This window comes from Homo sapiens, chromosome 3 (assembly GCF_000001405.40).
Source record: "Homo sapiens chromosome 3, GRCh38.p14 Primary Assembly".
Lineage (NCBI taxonomy): Eukaryota > Metazoa > Chordata > Mammalia > Primates > Hominidae > Homo > Homo sapiens.
In genome coordinates, this window is record NC_000003.12 from 48,578,121 (window position 1) to 48,594,103 (window position 15,983).

Sequence of the window (15,983 nt, forward strand, 5' to 3'; positions counted from 1 at the left end):
GCCACTGCACTCCAACCTGGGCAACAAGAGCGAAACTCCATCTCAAAAAAAAAAAAACTATGTTTCTGGATGCATCTGTATGTCTGGGCCAGGATGCATGTGTCTACACGTGTGCCTCATGTGTTGCTACAGATCTTGGCTGTGTAGGTGTGCTGGCGTTTCTTGGCAGGTTTCGCCGCAGCTGCCCTGGACACACTCACGTTTTTTCCATTCAGGCCAGGTTTGCCATCCTCGCCTGGCTTTCCCTGTGGGAACAGATCACTGGTTGGATGTCGGGGATCGGGTGAGGGTAGTAAGGGGGAAAAGGGGGTAACATGAAAGTCTGGTCTCACCGGTAATCCAGGGGGACCAGAGGGGCCAGGGAGGCCCTGTTCTCCACGGAGGCCTGGAAGCCCCTGGAAAAAGTCTTTGTTAAGATTTATAGGGCCTCTGAGATATCCCTTGGGGCACACCCCATGGACTAAGAGGACCCCAAAAAGATCTCCCTCCAGGGTAGAGACCCCCAGGACTGAGAGGTCCCATTGAGATCCCTCAGGCACAGACCCCATGGATGGGGGCCCCTGCTGAGACTCCCAAGGGAAGAACCCCCAGGACTTGGAGGGCCTATGAAGACCCCCAAGGCAAAGAAGGTCAGAAAGGGGGATTCTACTAAAACCTGTGTGCCAGGGACTGAGACCCTCCCAAAGGCAAGGCTGAACCGACCCCCCACCAACTCTCTCGGATGCTGTGACTATGATGATCTGGTTGGAGCTTACGCAGCCCCGAGCCCCCTCTGTCCCAGCATCTCCCCTCACTTACGTCTCTCCCTGGGTCCCCAGCTTTGCCTGCAGCACCCTGAGGAGAGACTCAAAGTCAGTTCATCATGGTCATGGGGTCAGGGGCTCTAGTCCCTGTGAGCCTAAGGCCTGCATGGCAAGAACATGCCCCACCCAGGCAGGGCTCTGGGAGAAGACACAGACAACAGGTCTCGCCCCAGAGCTCGTCAAGGCCAAGACCAACCAATGAGGCTGGGGTCTAGGGTCCTCATGTGAAGGGGTAGGGGAAGGGGACAACCAGGCAGGACTACCAAGACTCACATTCGGCCCAGAGGGCCCAGCGGCTCCTGGTTTCCCATCCAGTCCGCTCCGGCCATCCAGCCCAGGGGGACCCCGGTCACCCTGTGGAAAATAGAGTGGTAAGAGGCCACCAAGGCTGAGGTGGATCTGATAACCCAGGCTCATGTCCTGAGAAACCCCCACACCCTCTCACCTTTTCTCCTGCTGGGCCTCGGACACCTGGGTCCCCCTGGAGGGAACAGGGTCAGATAAGAGGTGAGGGTAAGATGGGGACTTGGCAGACGGGGCAAAGTGCATCACTCACCTGTGGGCCTGGGGGTCCCCGAAACCCTTCAATGCCCTGAGGATAGGGGAGGAAGAAATCAGAGCAGGCCCTCCCATGCCTGCACCCCCGAGGACCAATCACACTCACCCTTTCCCCAGGGGCTCCAGGGAGGCCAGGATCACCCTTGGGCCCTCGAGGACCCTCTTGTCCGCGGTCCCCAGGCTCTCCCTGTGGCAGAGATAAGCTTGCTGAGGAACAGCCTTGAAGCCAAGCCATGCCCAAGGTAGAACCTGCTGGGAGGGGCACTGGGGTCTTTCTTACCCTCCACCCACAGACCCTAATACCTTCTCTCTGGCTCCAGGTCCTGTGTCTACCTGTGGGGGGAATGACCAGTGAGAAGAATGGCTCAACAAGGGGAAGAGGAGTTGGCGAGGGGATACAGGGTCTGTGAGGGGCTCCAGGGATCCGCGGAGGTTTCAGAGGGACAGTGGGGGAAGTGGGAGTTAGTGGAAGGAATGAGGGGACATGATGTGGAGCCAAAGGGGCAAGTGAGAACAATGACAGAGGACCAGACCCAGCGCAGCCCTTACCAGCCGTCCCGGGGGTCCTGGGGGACCCTGGGAAAGGAAATGATTATAGTCAATAGGAGCCCTCAGGTCCCAGGCCATGGCTCTGGTTTGCCCCAGGCTCAACTCTGCCCCCAAGTTCCCCGAAGCACCCCAATGCCAGCCCCCAGCAGGCATGGGTGGCCATCCATGCTTCCCACCTGGACCTCCAGACCCCTTGTGTGAAGGCACACTGGCAGCAGCGCCAGGGGACCCTCCATCCCTTCTGAGCCCAGGACACCAGCCCTACTCACCGGCTCCCCACGGTCACCCTTGGGTCCAGATGATCCAGGGCTGCCCTGCAGAAAGGCAGGGGTCAGGGCCACTCAAGGTAGGCAGCAGTTTGGGAGAGCTTTGGAAGCACCATGAGGACTCATGGGAATGTTGGTAGCCTTCAGATGCGTGTGTGCAGGGGTCAAAGGAAGTGAAGATTGGGAGGGTTTAGCATTACAGGGTTGGGGGGTAGGATCAGGTATTGGGAATTGGCTGGTTGGAGGGTTAAGGTTGGGGTGAGGAGTCATAGGCTGGGACTCACATTTCGTCCATCCTCTCCAGGATCTCCCTGGTCTCCCTTTTCACCCACAGGCCCCCGAACTCCAGGTGCCCCCTAAGAAGAGCAGCTGGCCTGAGACAGACCCTCCCAATATTTTGCAGGTGCCCCTATGACCCGCTACACTGCCCCAGGTTCCCCATTACTCCAAAATCCACATCAGAGGTTCCCATCACCCCATGCCTCCCTGCAGGGACTCCCATCACCCCTTACCCCCCTCAGCCTTTCCTATCACCTTCATGCCCACCTCCCATCACCCCTGTTACTTCTCTCTGCCAAGACTCACCCGAAGGCCACGCTCGCCTGCTTTTCCAGGCAAACCCGGGTCACCCTGGTGATAGAGAGAAAAGTCATACTGCACAGGGCAGTCAGGATCTAACTCACTCAGGGAGAGGGGACAGAGAAGGGTCTGAGCAGCAGCTGGACAGGAGGCAGGGAGTGGATGGATGAACTGGTGGAGCACCAGCCTACTGGGATCCTAGTTCAAGGGTAAAGGATCAGAAACCACAGTGGGAAGGAGTCTCACCGGAGGACCCTCGTCACCTTTCTCTCCAACTTCACCCTGTGAAACATGAGAGTCAGCCCTGGTTCCAAGAACCCCCATGATGCTGGCAACAGCCCTACTCCCTTACCCGCCATGACTCCCCCGACTCCAGCCTCTTACATCTCGTCCTCGGGGGCCAACAGGTCCTGGGGGGCCAGGCCGCCCAGGGTCTCCCTTCTCTCCAGGAGGCCCTGAGTCACCCTGTGGAGGAGGCAAGAGGGAGGTGATGCAGGACGCTCGAAGCAAGCAGTTCTCAAGGGGAGGGGACCCCAGAAGCCTTGAGGTTGCCCAGGGTAACGGGTACTCACTGGGGGTCCTGCTCTGCCAGTAAGGCCAATGGGACCCTGAAGGGGACAGAAGGGGGGCAGGACTTAGTCAGGGTCCCACCACCTCATCTCCCTCTGTCACACTCCCCATTCCCACATTGATTCACCCGGTCTCCAGGGTCTCCCTTGGGGCCAGGGTCTCCAGGAAGAACCAAGCCGGGTGGGCCCTGTGGATGGAAGGATAAGAAGTCAGGAAGACAACCTTCACCAACTGCCCCCTAAACACTTCGCTTCACTTACCCGTTCCCCTTGGACTCCGGTAGCTCCTCTGGGCCCAGCGGGCCCCACATCTCCCTGGAGGTGACAAAGACCATCAGTGCTAGTCCCAGGCTCCAGTTAACCCCCTGACCCAGCAAGTCCTGTGACCCCCCAAGTCCCATAGATAGGCCCTATGACCTAGACCTCAACCCTGTAGAAACCTCCCCTTGCCCCATACCAGGCTTACCTTTTCTCCTTTGGGTCCAGCAACAGCAGGTCCCTGAAAACAAACAGGACAGATACAGCTTGGCCCTGCCTTGGGGTTGTATGATCAAAGTCTTCATTGGAATGGAGGTCACATGGAATTGGAAGTCATACAGCTCAGTCCCCGCCCAGAAGTCACAGAGTCACCGCTGACAGCAGGGAAGGGGTTATACAAAATGGACTGACACAAAGAGCTCATGACCTGCATGGCGGTCTTGGGGTCACAGGATCATAGCCAAGAGTCTGGGGGCAGGTTCTAGCAGAAGGAGAGCCGCAGAGCTCCCAGCCTGCTCACGGGCCCAGCACTGTGGAATCACAGCCCAGATAGTGTTCTATAGGAGGGTCACTGCTCAAGGGCTGTGCTGTGCTCAGAGCGCCATCCTCCCGTCACTCACCACCACTGCAGGGTCCCCAGGGCGACCAGGCTCCCCCTGTGGAGAGAGGATAGGAGCAGGGACAGGTCAGGGAGTCACCTAGGAGCCCAAAATCCCAGTGTCCCATCTGCCACATCCCTAGTACCAGACAGTGCCACCCCCAGCCGAGGACCCACCTTCTCTCCTTGGCGGCCAGTGGGTCCTGGTGGCCCCTGAATGTAGAGAAAGTGTGAGCCCAGGAGGGGAAGGGAAAGGGGAGGGACACACAAAAGTCCCACTCCTGGTCCCACCACAGTCACAGACTCACTTCAGGACCCTTGGCTCCAGGACGTCCAGCAACCCCTGGCAGCCCCTGGAGGAGAGGAAGGGAAGAGCTGTGCAGGTGGGTGGGGACGGGGGATATGGACAGACAGGGCTAGAGGCTGGGGTGGGGGCTGGAGAGGGGTCAGGGAAGATTGGGATTTAGGTTGGCAGGGGTAAGACTTGGCAGGAGAACAGAGACCAGGTCAGTGAAAATCAAGGTCAGTTCAGCAGGGTCAGAGGTTCAAAGCCAGGTCCCTGGGGCTGAGGGTTAGAGCCTGTATCAGCAGGGATAAGTGGTCATTGAGGAGGGGTGAGGAGCAGGGGTAGCAGGGGTCAAGGGCAAGAAGTCAGAACCAGAAAGGGCACAGCCAGGTCAGCTGGTATGAGCATTGCAGCCAGTGGGTTTACCCGGGATCCCGCTGGGCCTGGGGGTCCACGTTCGCCCTGATGGAAAAGAAGAGGTCAGAGCTGAGTTGGGCCCAGATCCTCCAGGGCCCTTGGCACCCCCCAGGTTGCACTTACCTTCTCTCCAGCCTCACCCAGGGGCCCTGGAAAGCCCCGGTCACCCTGAAGAGAGAGGGTGAGAGAAAGACAGAGAGAGAGAGGGTTGGTGGCGGGGCTTGAACGTCAAACCCCAGACAAGGGGTCCCAAACTCCAACCACCCCCTCCAAAACCACGACCTCTGACCTGGAGGGAACTCTTATCTCCTTATCTTCCAGCCTCCCCTAACACCATGGGGAGCCCAGAGTAGCACCCCTCACACCTGAATCCCCCAACTGGTACTCACTTTGGGGCCAATAGCTCCAGGAGGTCCCCGTGGGCCCTGGAAGGGATGAATTTGGGGGTTCAGAGATTTGGGTTTGGGCATGAGGATGGAGCAGTGGTTGATGATTGAGGTAGGGGCTGGAGCTGTGCCCACCATATTCAGAATCCCTGGCCCCTCCACTCACCTGCTCACCCGGAGACCCAGGTTGTCCTGGGAGGCCTGGAGCTCCATCCTCAGAGTCACCCTGAAGGAGAAACACACGGGTGGGAAGACCGAAGGGAGGCCCTGCCCCCAGCACGCAGCCTCCCACCCCAGAACTGGGACATCATCAAGTCAGCCTTCCTACTTTTTCTCCTTTCTTTCCAGGGGGGCCAACGGGGCCTTGGGGTCCAGGGCTTCCGGGAAGACCCTAGGAAGAAGTGAGTAAAAATATGAGCCAAGAACTATGAAGCCCAGCACCCAACCACTGCCCCAGGAGAGACCCACACCCCTGAGCAGGGCCCCCAGCAGAGCCTCAAGGCCCCTCACCGGCAGCCCAGGCTCCCCAGGAGCAATGCCACCTTCACCTGGTCCAGGGGGACCCTGGGAGAGAACAGCAGGTCAGGGAATGAACAGGGGAATCAGACTCCAAGCCACCCCTAGCACAACCTGTCCCTCACTTACCCGCTCCCCACGATCGCCTTTGTCACCCTAGAAAACAGATGACGACCCCATGACCCTGGGCCACACCTCACTCCCAAAGATACCAGGAGTGATGAGGGTCATGGGGTCCAATTGGATTTCAAGGATTTTGGGAGAACTGAGGCGTCATGGTGAGGATGGGGGTAATCAAAGGGTCACAAGGGCCAGAGTAACTGGCAGGGGTTATGTGGGTTCAAATGGGGTCACCAGGTCTCTGCATCACATGGCACTCATGAGGCTGTCACCTTCATGGCTGTTCCAGGAAGCCCTGGGGGGCCACGGGGTCCTGGGTCCCCCAGTGGTCCACGAGGTCCAGGGGGGCCCTGATGGAGGAGACAAAGTATAAGGTGCAACCCCACAGACCTCACTCTCGCCCCCCTCGTGTTGGTCCCCCCACTACACATCACTTGCCTCCACATACCCTGCACTTACCGATGGTCCAGGGTCCCCTTTCCGCCCAGGAAGCCCAGGTCCTTCACCTCCGATGACTTGTCCGGGAGCCCCCTGTAAGGACAGAGAGCAGTGGGCAGGATTCAGGCTATGGGGGCCTTGAGCTGGAAGAAGCCCCTAGACATGTCCAGCTATTCCTATTCGCGCCTTAGGCCCTGCACAGGGTCTGGTGTGGGGCAGTCCTGCTCCTCCCTGGGACATCCCGGCCGCCTCCCTTCCCCCTTCACCTACCGGCTCCCCCTTTGGGCCTCGAGGTCCTCGCTCTCCCTGAGGACGAAACAGAGCAGAGGGTGGTGCTTGGGCTCAGGCGAATGTCAACGTGGGCACTGCACCACCACCCCAGGCTCCCACCCTGTGGAAGAACCCTGGGAAGACACTTAGAGAGCAAAGAAGGGAAGGCACCTTACCGGGTCCCCACGAGGGCCAGGCAACCCTGGAGAGCCCTGCAAATGGAGGCCAGAGGCAGAACAGTCGGAGCCACCCCACCCACTCAGGCAGCGCCCACCCTGACCTGCAGGACAAGGCTTGCTCACCTTTAGGCCAGGGGCTCCAGGGGTCCCAGGATTCCCGGCGCGGCCAGGGCTGCCTGGACGCCCATCTGCTCCAGGGAAGCCCTGAGGAGGTGAAGAGGTCAGGACAGGAAGGGACCCTCCCCCAAGGCCCCTGGTTTGCTGGAGGGGCCTCACCCCATCAACAAGGGGTCGCCTACCCCACTGACCCCCAAGTGTTATTGGGGGTGGAACAGTGAGGCAGAGAAATGGCCCCTCAGAGCTTCACAGAGCCCAATTCCAGGCACAAGGGCAGCGACAAGGCAGAGGGCTTCCCTGCCTCTGGGACTTGGAGCTGCTGCTCAGGCTCTGCAGCGGGGCTAGAGGCCCCACTGGCCCTTCTATTTCAGAGTGTCCCCCAAAGTCTCTGTGGTGGTTTATAACCTCCAGCTGGGCTTCTAGGAATTCCCGATGATTCTAACTCTGCTTCTTCCTTCTCTCTTGTAAAAACCCCGAGACAGCTTTGAGGAGTGCCTCAGAGAAACCTCGATGGTCTCCACACTCACCCTCTCGCCCTTGGCAGTGGCACTTCCAGGGGGCCCCTGGGGGCCGGGAGCACCGGTCCTGCCCTGAAAGAAGATAGCAGTTAGGTGGGGATAAGCCAGTCAGGGTGCAGGGACAGATGTGGGGGACACTCACCGGGAGGCCAGGGTCGCCAGGAGGCCCAACTTGTCCTCTCAGGCCCTAGGAAGGGTAATCAGTGAGACCTGTGCTGCCAACCTCTCCTGCCCCACTGACACTCAACCCATTCTCTATTCCCCGCCCGCAGGGGCACTCACCATCTCTCCAGGTTCCCCCTTCTGGCCCTGGGGAAAGACATGTCAGATGTGGGTCAGAGTGGCTAGCCCCAGGTGCAGCCTCTGTTCACCTCTCGATGAGGGACTCTTACCTTTGGACAATACACTGGGCAGGGCTCTGGCCGGGGCTGCGGACATAGGGTCTCTTTGAGGTTGAACATTTCTACCAAGAACCCCCAGACCCCTTATATTCTACCACCCAGTCCCCCAGAGGCCTCTTCCAAACCTGAGTAGTGAAGGATGCCTGACACAGGGCTGTGGCCAGACCACTGACTGCCTGGTCCAGGCTTGGCCCATCATCCACGGCGAAGAAGGTCTGGACAGAGTCCATACCCGGCGCCAAGCGACGCAGCTGCTCTGGGTCCGCTCCAGCCATTCCCAACATCACCACATTAAGCCCTAAGGTGGGGTCCAGTGGCTGCATGATAGCCTTTTCAGGGCCACCCCTATTCCCAGACCCCTTCCCCATCAGCCTACTCCTTACCAGAAGCCTGGGCCTCACGGATGGGGCTGAATATGTCACCTCTCAAGGGTTCATCCACTAGCAGAACCATCACCCCTGGTACGTGCTGGCGGCGCCCAGGAGCATCTGGTGCCAACATGTATCTGTGAGCTGTGACCACGGCTGTGCCTGGAAGGAAGGACATGTCAGAACCCTGGGGCACCAAGCTCCCAGTGGATAGCCCCAGGAGTCCATGCCTGCTGCAGTCCTCACCCAGGTTGTTCCCACTTGGGTCCATGTAGGGCATGTCACGGATCCTTTGCAAGATAATGCCAAGGTCATGGGAGCCATTCAGTGGGAACAGTGGGGAGGGCCGATGACTGTAAGACAGCAGGCCAACCTGGGGTGGAAGGAAACACAGAGCCTGAGGAGGATGACAGAGCAGGGATGGGGGTGCACAGAGCCTGGAGAAACACATCAGGGTGTGTGTGACCAAACCCTATCTATTAGGGAGTCAGCAGTGATGGCAGGATAGGGAGCCAGGCAGTAGGTGAGGTCTGGAGCCTGTGAGAGAGCTGGGAGAATGCCTGAACCTATTGGGTGGTCAGGAGATGGTAACTGGTATGGAGCCTGGGTGGGGGGCCTCAGGGAGAGGTAGAATCTGGCTGCCCCAGGGCCAAACCTGAACTGCCTGTGGCCCAAGAGGCCCAAGTGCCAACACCAGACGCTCCAGGACCCTCCTCGTAGCCTCCGCACGGTGAGCATTGTCTTGAGTGGCATGTGGTAGGAACACCACATCCGCCAGGCCACGGGGGCACACTGTAGGAAGGGGAACAAGTTACTGAAGCGGGCAGCCCACCCAGACACACCTTTCTGCCCTTCCCACTACGCCCACTATACCTGGCGTCTGTGTGACAGATGCCTCAGGACCCCGCACACCATCCAGGACAGGCGTCAGGGAGAAGATGTAAGAGACGCCAGGCTCTAGCCCTGTCACCCGCTGGGAGCTTGAGATCCCTGGAAGTGTCTGCGGGGACCCAGGCACTTCTGCAGGAGACAGAACTTGATTAAAAAGCTGTCTCCACAGAGCCCCAACTGCCAGCCCACCCAAATCCTGGCCTCCCCCTCACCCTGGCCAGGGCCTCTGAGTGGCCGCCAGGATAGGATGTAGCTGGATGCCCTGGACACTGGAGTCCAGGCCAAAGTCACCGAGTCGATCGAGGTGTCCACCACACGTAGTTCAATGCTTGGAACACGAGGTGACTCTGAAGGAGGAATGAAAGATCGAGGATCAGAGGCTGAGTCCTGAGAACCCAGAAGGGAGAGATCTGAGATCCTGGGTCCGGTTTGTCTTATTGAAGCATCATGGGAGGTCATGCTGGGGTCACCCAGGGTCAGAGGGTGAGGGGTAGGGGTACAGGAGGAGTCACTCAGAGTCGGGGTGCAGGAAGTCAGGGTGGGTCATCAGCAGGGGAGGAGCACGCCAAGGTGAGGCAGGCTTACCAGTGCGCGCAGTCACCTCTGCAGAGGGCCCTTCTCCAGCTGGCCCTAGGACACTCAGCCTCACGCGGTACTGTGTCGCTGGCTCCAGCCCGTCCAGGTGATAGCTGCTGAGCTCGGGCCCCAGGACCCGGGACTGTTCCTGGCCACCTGGGGCAGGCGTGAGGGTGGGGGCCAAGAGCATGTGGGATAGTGACACCTGGGGGCATTAAAGGGCCTGCCCACTTCACTGGCTCTGTTAACTGGGTTCACCCTCCTGACTGATCTTCCTCATCCTCACTGACCCTGCCCACTTTACGGACCCTGCCAGACTGACCCTCCATGAACTCATTGATCCCACCCACTTCATTGATTGATCTTACCTACTGTCACGGATCCCGCAGACCCCCAGTGACAGACCCCGCCCACCATCACTGTCCTCGCCTACCTTGCGGAGTCTGCCACAGCCCTGCCCCCAATGGTCCCTAACTTCCTCCTGGGGACACCTCTCACCCTCAGGTTGCCAGTGCAGAAGGAAGCCCTGCGCTCTGGGCACCGGCTCCCAGCGCAGCCTCAGCGAGTGCTCCCCGCGCTGCACCACGTGAAGCGTCCCCAGGGCTGGCGGAGCCTCAGGCGCTGGAGAGAAAGCTCAGGAATCAGGGAGGCTCTGCCCCCATGGCCCCTGCACCAATCCCAGGCCCACCCTGGCACACGCACCCCGCCCAGCCTCTCAGACCCCTCTCCCTCCTCTCAGACCCTGCCCCCAAAGGCTCACTACCAATCCTGGTCCTTTCTCCAATCCAGAGCACAAGCCCGGATCCCCAAACCATCCACACCACCCATCCGAAGCTCTCCAGCGCATGCTCTGCCTACGCGTAGTGACAACAATGGAGACAGGTGTGCCCTCGCGGTCCCCGACAAGTGCAGTCACTCGCACTGAGTAGCTGACTCCACCTTCGAGACCCCGGATCTCTGCAGAGTCTGTGTTTCCTGGGAGTATCTGGTGCCTCATGGGGCCGCCTGGCCAGGTGGGCATACAGCAATGGTTAGGGGTGAGCAGTCCCAGCCAGGAAGGACAGGGGTGGCGTCAGGGAGCCATACCTTCACTCCGGCCCCAGGCCAGTCTGTAAGCTGTGGCTCCAGTGACCCCTACCCAGGTGATCCGTAGAACGTCGCTGGAAGCATTGAGGATCTGCAGCCTCGACACACGACCCACAGGCTCAGGGGCTGGGGACAGAGGCAAGGTAAGGGGTCCTGGTAGAGAACAGAGAGGCAGTGCAGGAATGGTTGACGCAGGGGTGATCTGAAAGTCAGTGTGAGGTTAGTGTGGACAGGTCACTTTAGGCAGCCCTGAGGAGGAGGAGGTCAGTGCCTTGGGGTGGGCAGTGTGGGGCCACCAGGAGGTCACCGTGGGTGGACACTTAATCAGTGTGGGGTGGGTCAGTGTGGACAGGACAGTCACTGAGCAGGGGGGTGGAGGCAGCTGGGCAATCAGGAACACACAGCAGGGCAGGGTAGCTAATGCGGTGTGGCTAGTAGCTGGCCAGGGTCCACTCACCAGTCCTCACAACCACAGAGGCAGGGGGCCCATCCACGCCAGCCACATGGGCCCTCACATGCACCGTATACTCAGTATCTGGCTCCAGTCCATCCAGCTCAGCCACCGTGGCCTCCCCAGAAACCAACTGGGATTTCTCTGGGCCTGGGAACAGGGATGGAGGCAGCTCCAGGGCTAGCAAACTCTGTGCCCCAGAGCCCCACCTGGACCCCCAATAAACCCCCAGCCCCCATTCCACCCTGACCTGCCCCCTCCCAAACCCCAGTCCCCACCGTGGGCTGAGTGCCAGGAAACCCTGTATCCTGTGGCGCCAGGAACCCTGGTCCAGGTAATGGTGACAGATGAGCTGCTGGCCTGAGTCACATGGACCGTCCTCACTGGGCCCAGTGGGTCTAGTGGGGAGAGGCAATGGGGAGTCTGCTGGAACAGGCAGGAAGGAGTGGGGCTATCTGATAGGGGAAGATGATGGGAGTCTAACAGGAGACGGGAATTTGATAGAGGAGATGGTGAATAGGTCCAGTGGAGGAGTGGGGAGGTGGAGGTTTTAGGAAGCAGTGAGCAGGTCTGATGGAGGAGAAAGTGTAAATCTCAGAGGAGATTTGGGTCCAGCAAAAAAGGGATGGGGGTCTGAGGGTTGAAGTGGTGGATATTTGAGGGCAAAGGCTGTGGGAGTCTTAGGAGAGAAGCGGAGGAATCTGAATACGGGGAGGGCTTAAGGGGAGACAGCTGAAACTGAAGAGGAAGCAGCGTCTCTGAGGGAGGAGGGAGTGGGATTCTGAAGGGGGAGGCAGGAGTTCTGGGGAGAAGCAAGGGTCTGCAAGGGAAGGCATGGGGGTCTGAAAGAGCAATGGAGGCAGAGAGCCAAGGGACGGGGGCAGGGCCTGACCCGTTCGAGCCACGATGACTGCAGCAGGGCCCTCCTCTCTGCCTCGCAGTACCGACACAGCCACCTGGTAGGTGGTTCCAGGCTGCAGCCCTGTGATGTCTGTGGCAGTAGAGTCTGGGGGCAGTGTCTGGCTGGACTCCGGACCTGAGGTCAGAGGGAAATGCTGGCATGGCTCCTGCCTGTCCCCTCTGGCACCCATACCCTCATTGGTCCCTTTGGCAGTCCCCCCACACACCCCACACTGACCACTGCCTGTGCTCCAGCTAATCCGAAATCCACTGGCTCCAGGGACGGGTCCCCAGGCCACCCTCACTCGCGTTGCATCTGACACCACAACCCGCAGCCCTGGAACAGCAAGTGGAGTTTCCGGCTCTAGGAGTTACAGACAGAAGTCAGAAGTCAGAACCAGGACCAGAGTGAGGCAGGCAGCTGTCCTCCACAAGCCTCCTGCAGTACTCACCCCGGCGGACAGTGAGGACACTGGCACTGCCCTCACGGGGACCCACTCGAGCAGACACCCGCACAGTGTAGCTAAGCCCAGCCTGAACGTCATCCAAGTCGAATGCTGTCTGACTCCCAGGAAGCACCAGGGTCCGCTCAACCCCTAAGAGAGAAGTCAGGGTAGGTGGGCAGGGGTCAGAAAGAGACAGGGATGTGGGACGATGGCAGTGATGGACAGGGACGCAGAGTGAGAAGGGCCATGGGGGTGGGGATGTGGGGTGGTGGGGACCAGAGAGCTGGGATATGGCTGAAAAAAGTGAGTGCAAGACAAGGACATAGGATGAAAGGGGCCAGTGATGGTCAGGGACACTGGAGGACAGGAGTCTGTGGGATCTTAGCATGTAGGATGACAGGAGTCAGTGGACTGCAGTGAGAACTGATGAGCCATTGACAGACACTGATGTGGGATGGCAGAGGTCAGTGCTGGATGGGGACATGCAATGAGAGGTTGGTGTACAGTGGTCACCACTAGGGTAACAGAAAGACAGGTGATTGAGCTTGTGGCTGTGCAGAGGTGAAAGCCGTGGATGGGGTGTGGGGCAGGGAGGAGATTGGTTGGGGTAGGGTAGGGGCAGACACACCCTGTTGACAGTTCAGGGCTCAGTGCCATCTTGGGAAGCAGATGGATAACGAGACAGGGAGGAGACTATAGGGACCCAGGTGTGGAAGGAGAGGGCTGGAGGTACACTCAGACCCCTCAGGCTGGAACTTCAGTGTGTGTGGTGGGGGTGCTGGCTGCGTCCACCTCACCCTGGGTGCTGCGCACAATGATGCGGTACTGGGTGGCACCAGGGACTGGGCTCCAGGACACTCGCACCCGCTGCCCGGGCAGCTCGGTGGCTTGCAGGTCTGTTACAGGGCTCACAGGCAGCTCTGGTCCTGTTGGAGAGCACAGCATAGAGGCAGCCTGGGGCTCCGACACCTCCCCCACTCACTGGCCCAGCCCACAGAGCCCTCACCAGTGGGAACCACGGTTGCAGGGGTGGCCACCTCGTGGCCCTCCAGCAGAGTGTAGAGTGTGAGGCGGTACTCAGTGCCCGGCTGCAGCCCATCCAACTGGTAGCGGGTCACATCAGAGGGCAGTACCACCTTCTGCGGTGGCTCCAAGCCTGCAAGATAACAGGGTCAGACCAGCAGAGGCCATGCCCTGACCCTTGCCTGTCCATCCCTTCCCCCGCACTGACCAGTCTCACGCCGCCATTCCAACCGGTAGCCACGGGCCTCAGGCACCAAGTTCCAGGAAAGGAGGATGGATGTGGGGCCCAGGATGACCGGGCGCAGGGTCTGCTCAACAGAAGCGTCTGCCCAGGGCACATGGGATGTCAGTGGCCTCCGGGCCTTGCCCTGCCTGCCCGTCCCAGCCTGAAGAAAGTGCCCAGCCTTCTCACCAGTGCGAGCCATCAGGGAAGTGGCGGGCCCCACACTGCGGCCAAATAGGGTGCTCACGGTCACCTCATAGTCCGTGCCAGGCTCCAAGTCACGCAGCAACACTGAACCCTGCCCAGGGCCCAGCTCCTGCTGCTGTGTGGGCCCACCTGCATGGGGGACACCAAGGGGCCAGTGGGCCTTGCAGACTCAGGACTCTACAGCCTTGTCTGAGGCGCGGGGACTCCCCTCAGCCCACATCTCTCACTCACCACTGAGGACCCGCCATGTCACACGGTAGCCAGTGGCACCTGGCACACTCCGCCAGGCCACCAGGAGGCTGTGGGCTGTGGTATTCTGGATGGTCAGTTCCGGCCCTTCTAGGGCAGCTGGGGGAGAGTCCCACCAGGGATTCATGGAGTCAGAAGTGGGAGGGGGTACTGGGGTCGGGGGTTAGGTGAATGGGGTCAGAGGCTGGCAGAATTGCTCACTGGTCCGAGCTGTCCCGCTCACAGCCTCCCCGATGCTGTTGGCGTAGAGGGCAATCACAGTCACTTGGTACTCGGTCAGTGGCCGGAGACCCCGCAGCCGCACACTGGTCTCACCAGCTGGGACGTTCACCTGCCCAGGGCAAGAGGTCACTTTATCTTGCCCAGCCAAGTCCCCAGCCACCACCTATCACTCCTGACATCCTACCTCCTGCCGCTCACTCGGCAGTGGCTGTCCCAGCCCCGTCAGAGGAGTGTACTGGACCTTGTAGCCAGTCACAGGGCCACTGGCCGCTGTCCACTGTACTCTCAAGGATTGGCTGCTTGGCTCAGACAGCACCAGGTCTCGTGGAGCAGAGGTCGAGTCATCCGCTGGGAATGCGGGATCAGGGGATCAGGCAGGAGGATTGGGGTGGGCATGTATGATGCAGAGTTGGGGTCGGGGTCAGGAGCACATAGGATGGAATCAGCACTGCCAAGTGGGGATTGGGGTCCGGGGTCTAGGTCAGGGTACACCGTGTGGGCAGGAACTCACGAGGTCGGGTCACAGGCACGCCACCAGCAGTCGTGCACACTCTCCGGGAAACGAGGGGCAGTAGTGTCCTCAAGATGCTGAAGTCATTGACGAAGAAGAAGAAGTCACTGGTGGGCTGTGAGGCAACTCGCTTCAGCTCCTCAGGGTCAGCATTCTTGATCCCTGAAGTGACGACCCATCAGGACTCAGTCACCCACATGCTCTCTGACTGCCCCCACCCCCCAGCTGACCTGTCACTCCTGCTCGGTCCTTACCCACAGCAAATAGCTTGACCCCCTGCCCCTTCAGCCTTTGGGCAGCTGTGTCCACCAGGTCCTGGGACTTCCCGTCTGTGATCAGGATGCAGACCTGGGACAGGTGCAGGGGTCAAATCACGGTTCCCCTGGACACTTCATTTGGGGTCATCTTGGGAGGCATGGTAGGGGTAGGGATCACCTTGGGGACACCAGGTCGGGCCAGCTGGGGCAGGAAGACATGGTCAGCCACATGGAGAATTGCAGCCCCTGTGCGAGTGTTGCCCCCCTTGTAGCTAAGCTCACGGATGGCGCGGATCACATCACCCCCAGAGCCAAGTGCATCCAGGCCGAACTCTGTCCTGTTGGAGGGTAGGGGTGGCAACAGGCTAGGACTCAGGATCTCTTCTGGCCCTGGCCTTGAGGAGGCCTCTAGGGTGAGGGTTACGGGTATCAGGCTCTCTTGAGGGGTCCCTTCGTTCTGTCATTCTCCACACCCACTTGCCTCTGGAACCCCCAGGTTAACAAACTCCCCAGGGGCTCCTTTGTGCACCATCTGCAGGTGGGCCTGGGCAGACCTGAAGGAGCCCTTAGGGGCTCACAGTCTGTGGGGAACAAGATGCTGCTTAATTAAATAATTGCAGGAGGAGGGGTCCAGATGTAGGAAAGTGGATGCTGGCCAGATGGAGCACCTCTGGTGAACGGCTGCAAGGGTTAGAGGGCTAGAACGTGGAGAATCCAACAGGCGTGGGGGCCCCCTCCTGGGCTC

General features: G+C 59.8%; 1 protein-coding gene and 1 non-coding gene across 14 annotated transcripts in view, besides 2 other annotated features; both read right to left on the minus strand.

The window, feature by feature from the left end:
- Window positions 1-15,983, minus strand: part of COL7A1 (collagen type VII alpha 1 chain) — a 31,257-nt gene that overhangs the window by 14,048 nt on the left and 1,226 nt on the right. For all 13 annotated transcript variants that reach the window (XR_001740005.2, XR_001740004.2, XR_001740003.2 and 10 more), the window contains exons 4-65: window positions 15,417-15,576; window positions 15,236-15,329; window positions 14,982-15,143; window positions 14,655-14,818; window positions 14,450-14,579; window positions 14,231-14,347; window positions 13,982-14,128; window positions 13,778-13,894; window positions 13,553-13,702; window positions 13,344-13,472; window positions 12,553-12,696; window positions 12,339-12,464; window positions 12,093-12,236; window positions 11,479-11,598; window positions 11,207-11,350; window positions 10,750-10,875; window positions 10,522-10,668; window positions 10,162-10,284; window positions 9,673-9,819; window positions 9,300-9,434; window positions 9,070-9,216; window positions 8,852-8,988; window positions 8,443-8,569; window positions 8,212-8,358; window positions 7,954-8,126; window positions 7,820-7,855; window positions 7,710-7,736; window positions 7,570-7,614; window positions 7,437-7,499; window positions 6,916-6,996; window positions 6,790-6,825; window positions 6,614-6,649; window positions 6,365-6,436; window positions 6,178-6,255; window positions 5,915-5,941; window positions 5,780-5,833; window positions 5,598-5,660; window positions 5,436-5,495; window positions 5,273-5,308; window positions 5,007-5,051; window positions 4,893-4,928; window positions 4,489-4,533; window positions 4,358-4,393; window positions 4,203-4,238; window positions 3,791-3,823; window positions 3,586-3,639; window positions 3,453-3,512; window positions 3,328-3,363; window positions 3,140-3,220; window positions 3,002-3,037; window positions 2,762-2,806; window positions 2,461-2,532; window positions 2,180-2,224; window positions 1,911-1,937; window positions 1,665-1,694; window positions 1,468-1,548; window positions 1,360-1,395; window positions 1,249-1,284; window positions 1,077-1,157; window positions 799-834; window positions 333-395; window positions 201-245 (exon numbers count right to left, since the gene is read on the minus strand). Coding sequence is in view for 6 of the 13 variants with exons in the window: in XM_017005688.2 (XP_016861177.1) it covers window positions 201-245; window positions 333-395; window positions 799-834; window positions 1,077-1,157; window positions 1,249-1,284; window positions 1,360-1,395; window positions 1,468-1,548; window positions 1,665-1,694; window positions 1,911-1,937; window positions 2,180-2,224; window positions 2,461-2,532; window positions 2,762-2,806; window positions 3,002-3,037; window positions 3,140-3,220; window positions 3,328-3,363; window positions 3,453-3,512; window positions 3,586-3,639; window positions 3,791-3,823; window positions 4,203-4,238; window positions 4,358-4,393; window positions 4,489-4,533; window positions 4,893-4,928; window positions 5,007-5,051; window positions 5,273-5,308; window positions 5,436-5,495; window positions 5,598-5,660; window positions 5,780-5,833; window positions 5,915-5,941; window positions 6,178-6,255; window positions 6,365-6,436; window positions 6,614-6,649; window positions 6,790-6,825; window positions 6,916-6,996; window positions 7,437-7,499; window positions 7,570-7,614; window positions 7,710-7,736; window positions 7,820-7,855; window positions 7,954-8,126; window positions 8,212-8,358; window positions 8,443-8,569; window positions 8,852-8,988; window positions 9,070-9,216; window positions 9,300-9,434; window positions 9,673-9,819; window positions 10,162-10,284; window positions 10,522-10,668; window positions 10,750-10,875; window positions 11,207-11,350; window positions 11,479-11,598; window positions 12,093-12,236; window positions 12,339-12,464; window positions 12,553-12,696; window positions 13,344-13,472; window positions 13,553-13,702; window positions 13,778-13,894; window positions 13,982-14,128; window positions 14,231-14,347; window positions 14,450-14,579; window positions 14,655-14,818; window positions 14,982-15,143; window positions 15,236-15,329; window positions 15,417-15,576 (5,266 nt within the window). In the remaining 7 variants the exon portion in view is untranslated. The remainder of the gene's footprint in view (window positions 1-200; window positions 246-332; window positions 396-798; window positions 835-1,076; window positions 1,158-1,248; window positions 1,285-1,359; window positions 1,396-1,467; window positions 1,549-1,664; window positions 1,695-1,910; window positions 1,938-2,179; window positions 2,225-2,460; window positions 2,533-2,761; window positions 2,807-3,001; window positions 3,038-3,139; window positions 3,221-3,327; window positions 3,364-3,452; window positions 3,513-3,585; window positions 3,640-3,790; window positions 3,824-4,202; window positions 4,239-4,357; window positions 4,394-4,488; window positions 4,534-4,892; window positions 4,929-5,006; window positions 5,052-5,272; window positions 5,309-5,435; window positions 5,496-5,597; window positions 5,661-5,779; window positions 5,834-5,914; window positions 5,942-6,177; window positions 6,256-6,364; window positions 6,437-6,613; window positions 6,650-6,789; window positions 6,826-6,915; window positions 6,997-7,436; window positions 7,500-7,569; window positions 7,615-7,709; window positions 7,737-7,819; window positions 7,856-7,953; window positions 8,127-8,211; window positions 8,359-8,442; window positions 8,570-8,851; window positions 8,989-9,069; window positions 9,217-9,299; window positions 9,435-9,672; window positions 9,820-10,161; window positions 10,285-10,521; window positions 10,669-10,749; window positions 10,876-11,206; window positions 11,351-11,478; window positions 11,599-12,092; window positions 12,237-12,338; window positions 12,465-12,552; window positions 12,697-13,343; window positions 13,473-13,552; window positions 13,703-13,777; window positions 13,895-13,981; window positions 14,129-14,230; window positions 14,348-14,449; window positions 14,580-14,654; window positions 14,819-14,981; window positions 15,144-15,235; window positions 15,330-15,416; window positions 15,577-15,983) is intronic.
- MIR711 (microRNA 711) lies at window positions 782-857 on the minus strand. Its single transcript, NR_031756.1, has one exon. It is a non-coding gene; the product is annotated as a microRNA 711 (primary transcript).
- Window positions 10,210-10,913: an enhancer, noted in NCBI's record as "H3K4me1 hESC enhancer chr3:48625763-48626466 (GRCh37/hg19 assembly coordinates)". NCBI's record gives its function as "activates a minimal SCP1, AML or CMV promoter by ChIP-STARR-seq in naive H9 embryonic stem cells {active_cell/tissue: H9 hESC(naive)}" and the evidence as "EXISTENCE:reporter gene assay evidence [ECO:0000049][PMID:30033119]".
- Window positions 10,914-11,615: an enhancer, noted in NCBI's record as "H3K4me1 hESC enhancer chr3:48626467-48627168 (GRCh37/hg19 assembly coordinates)". NCBI's record gives its function as "activates a minimal SCP1, AML or CMV promoter by ChIP-STARR-seq in naive H9 embryonic stem cells {active_cell/tissue: H9 hESC(naive)}" and the evidence as "EXISTENCE:reporter gene assay evidence [ECO:0000049][PMID:30033119]".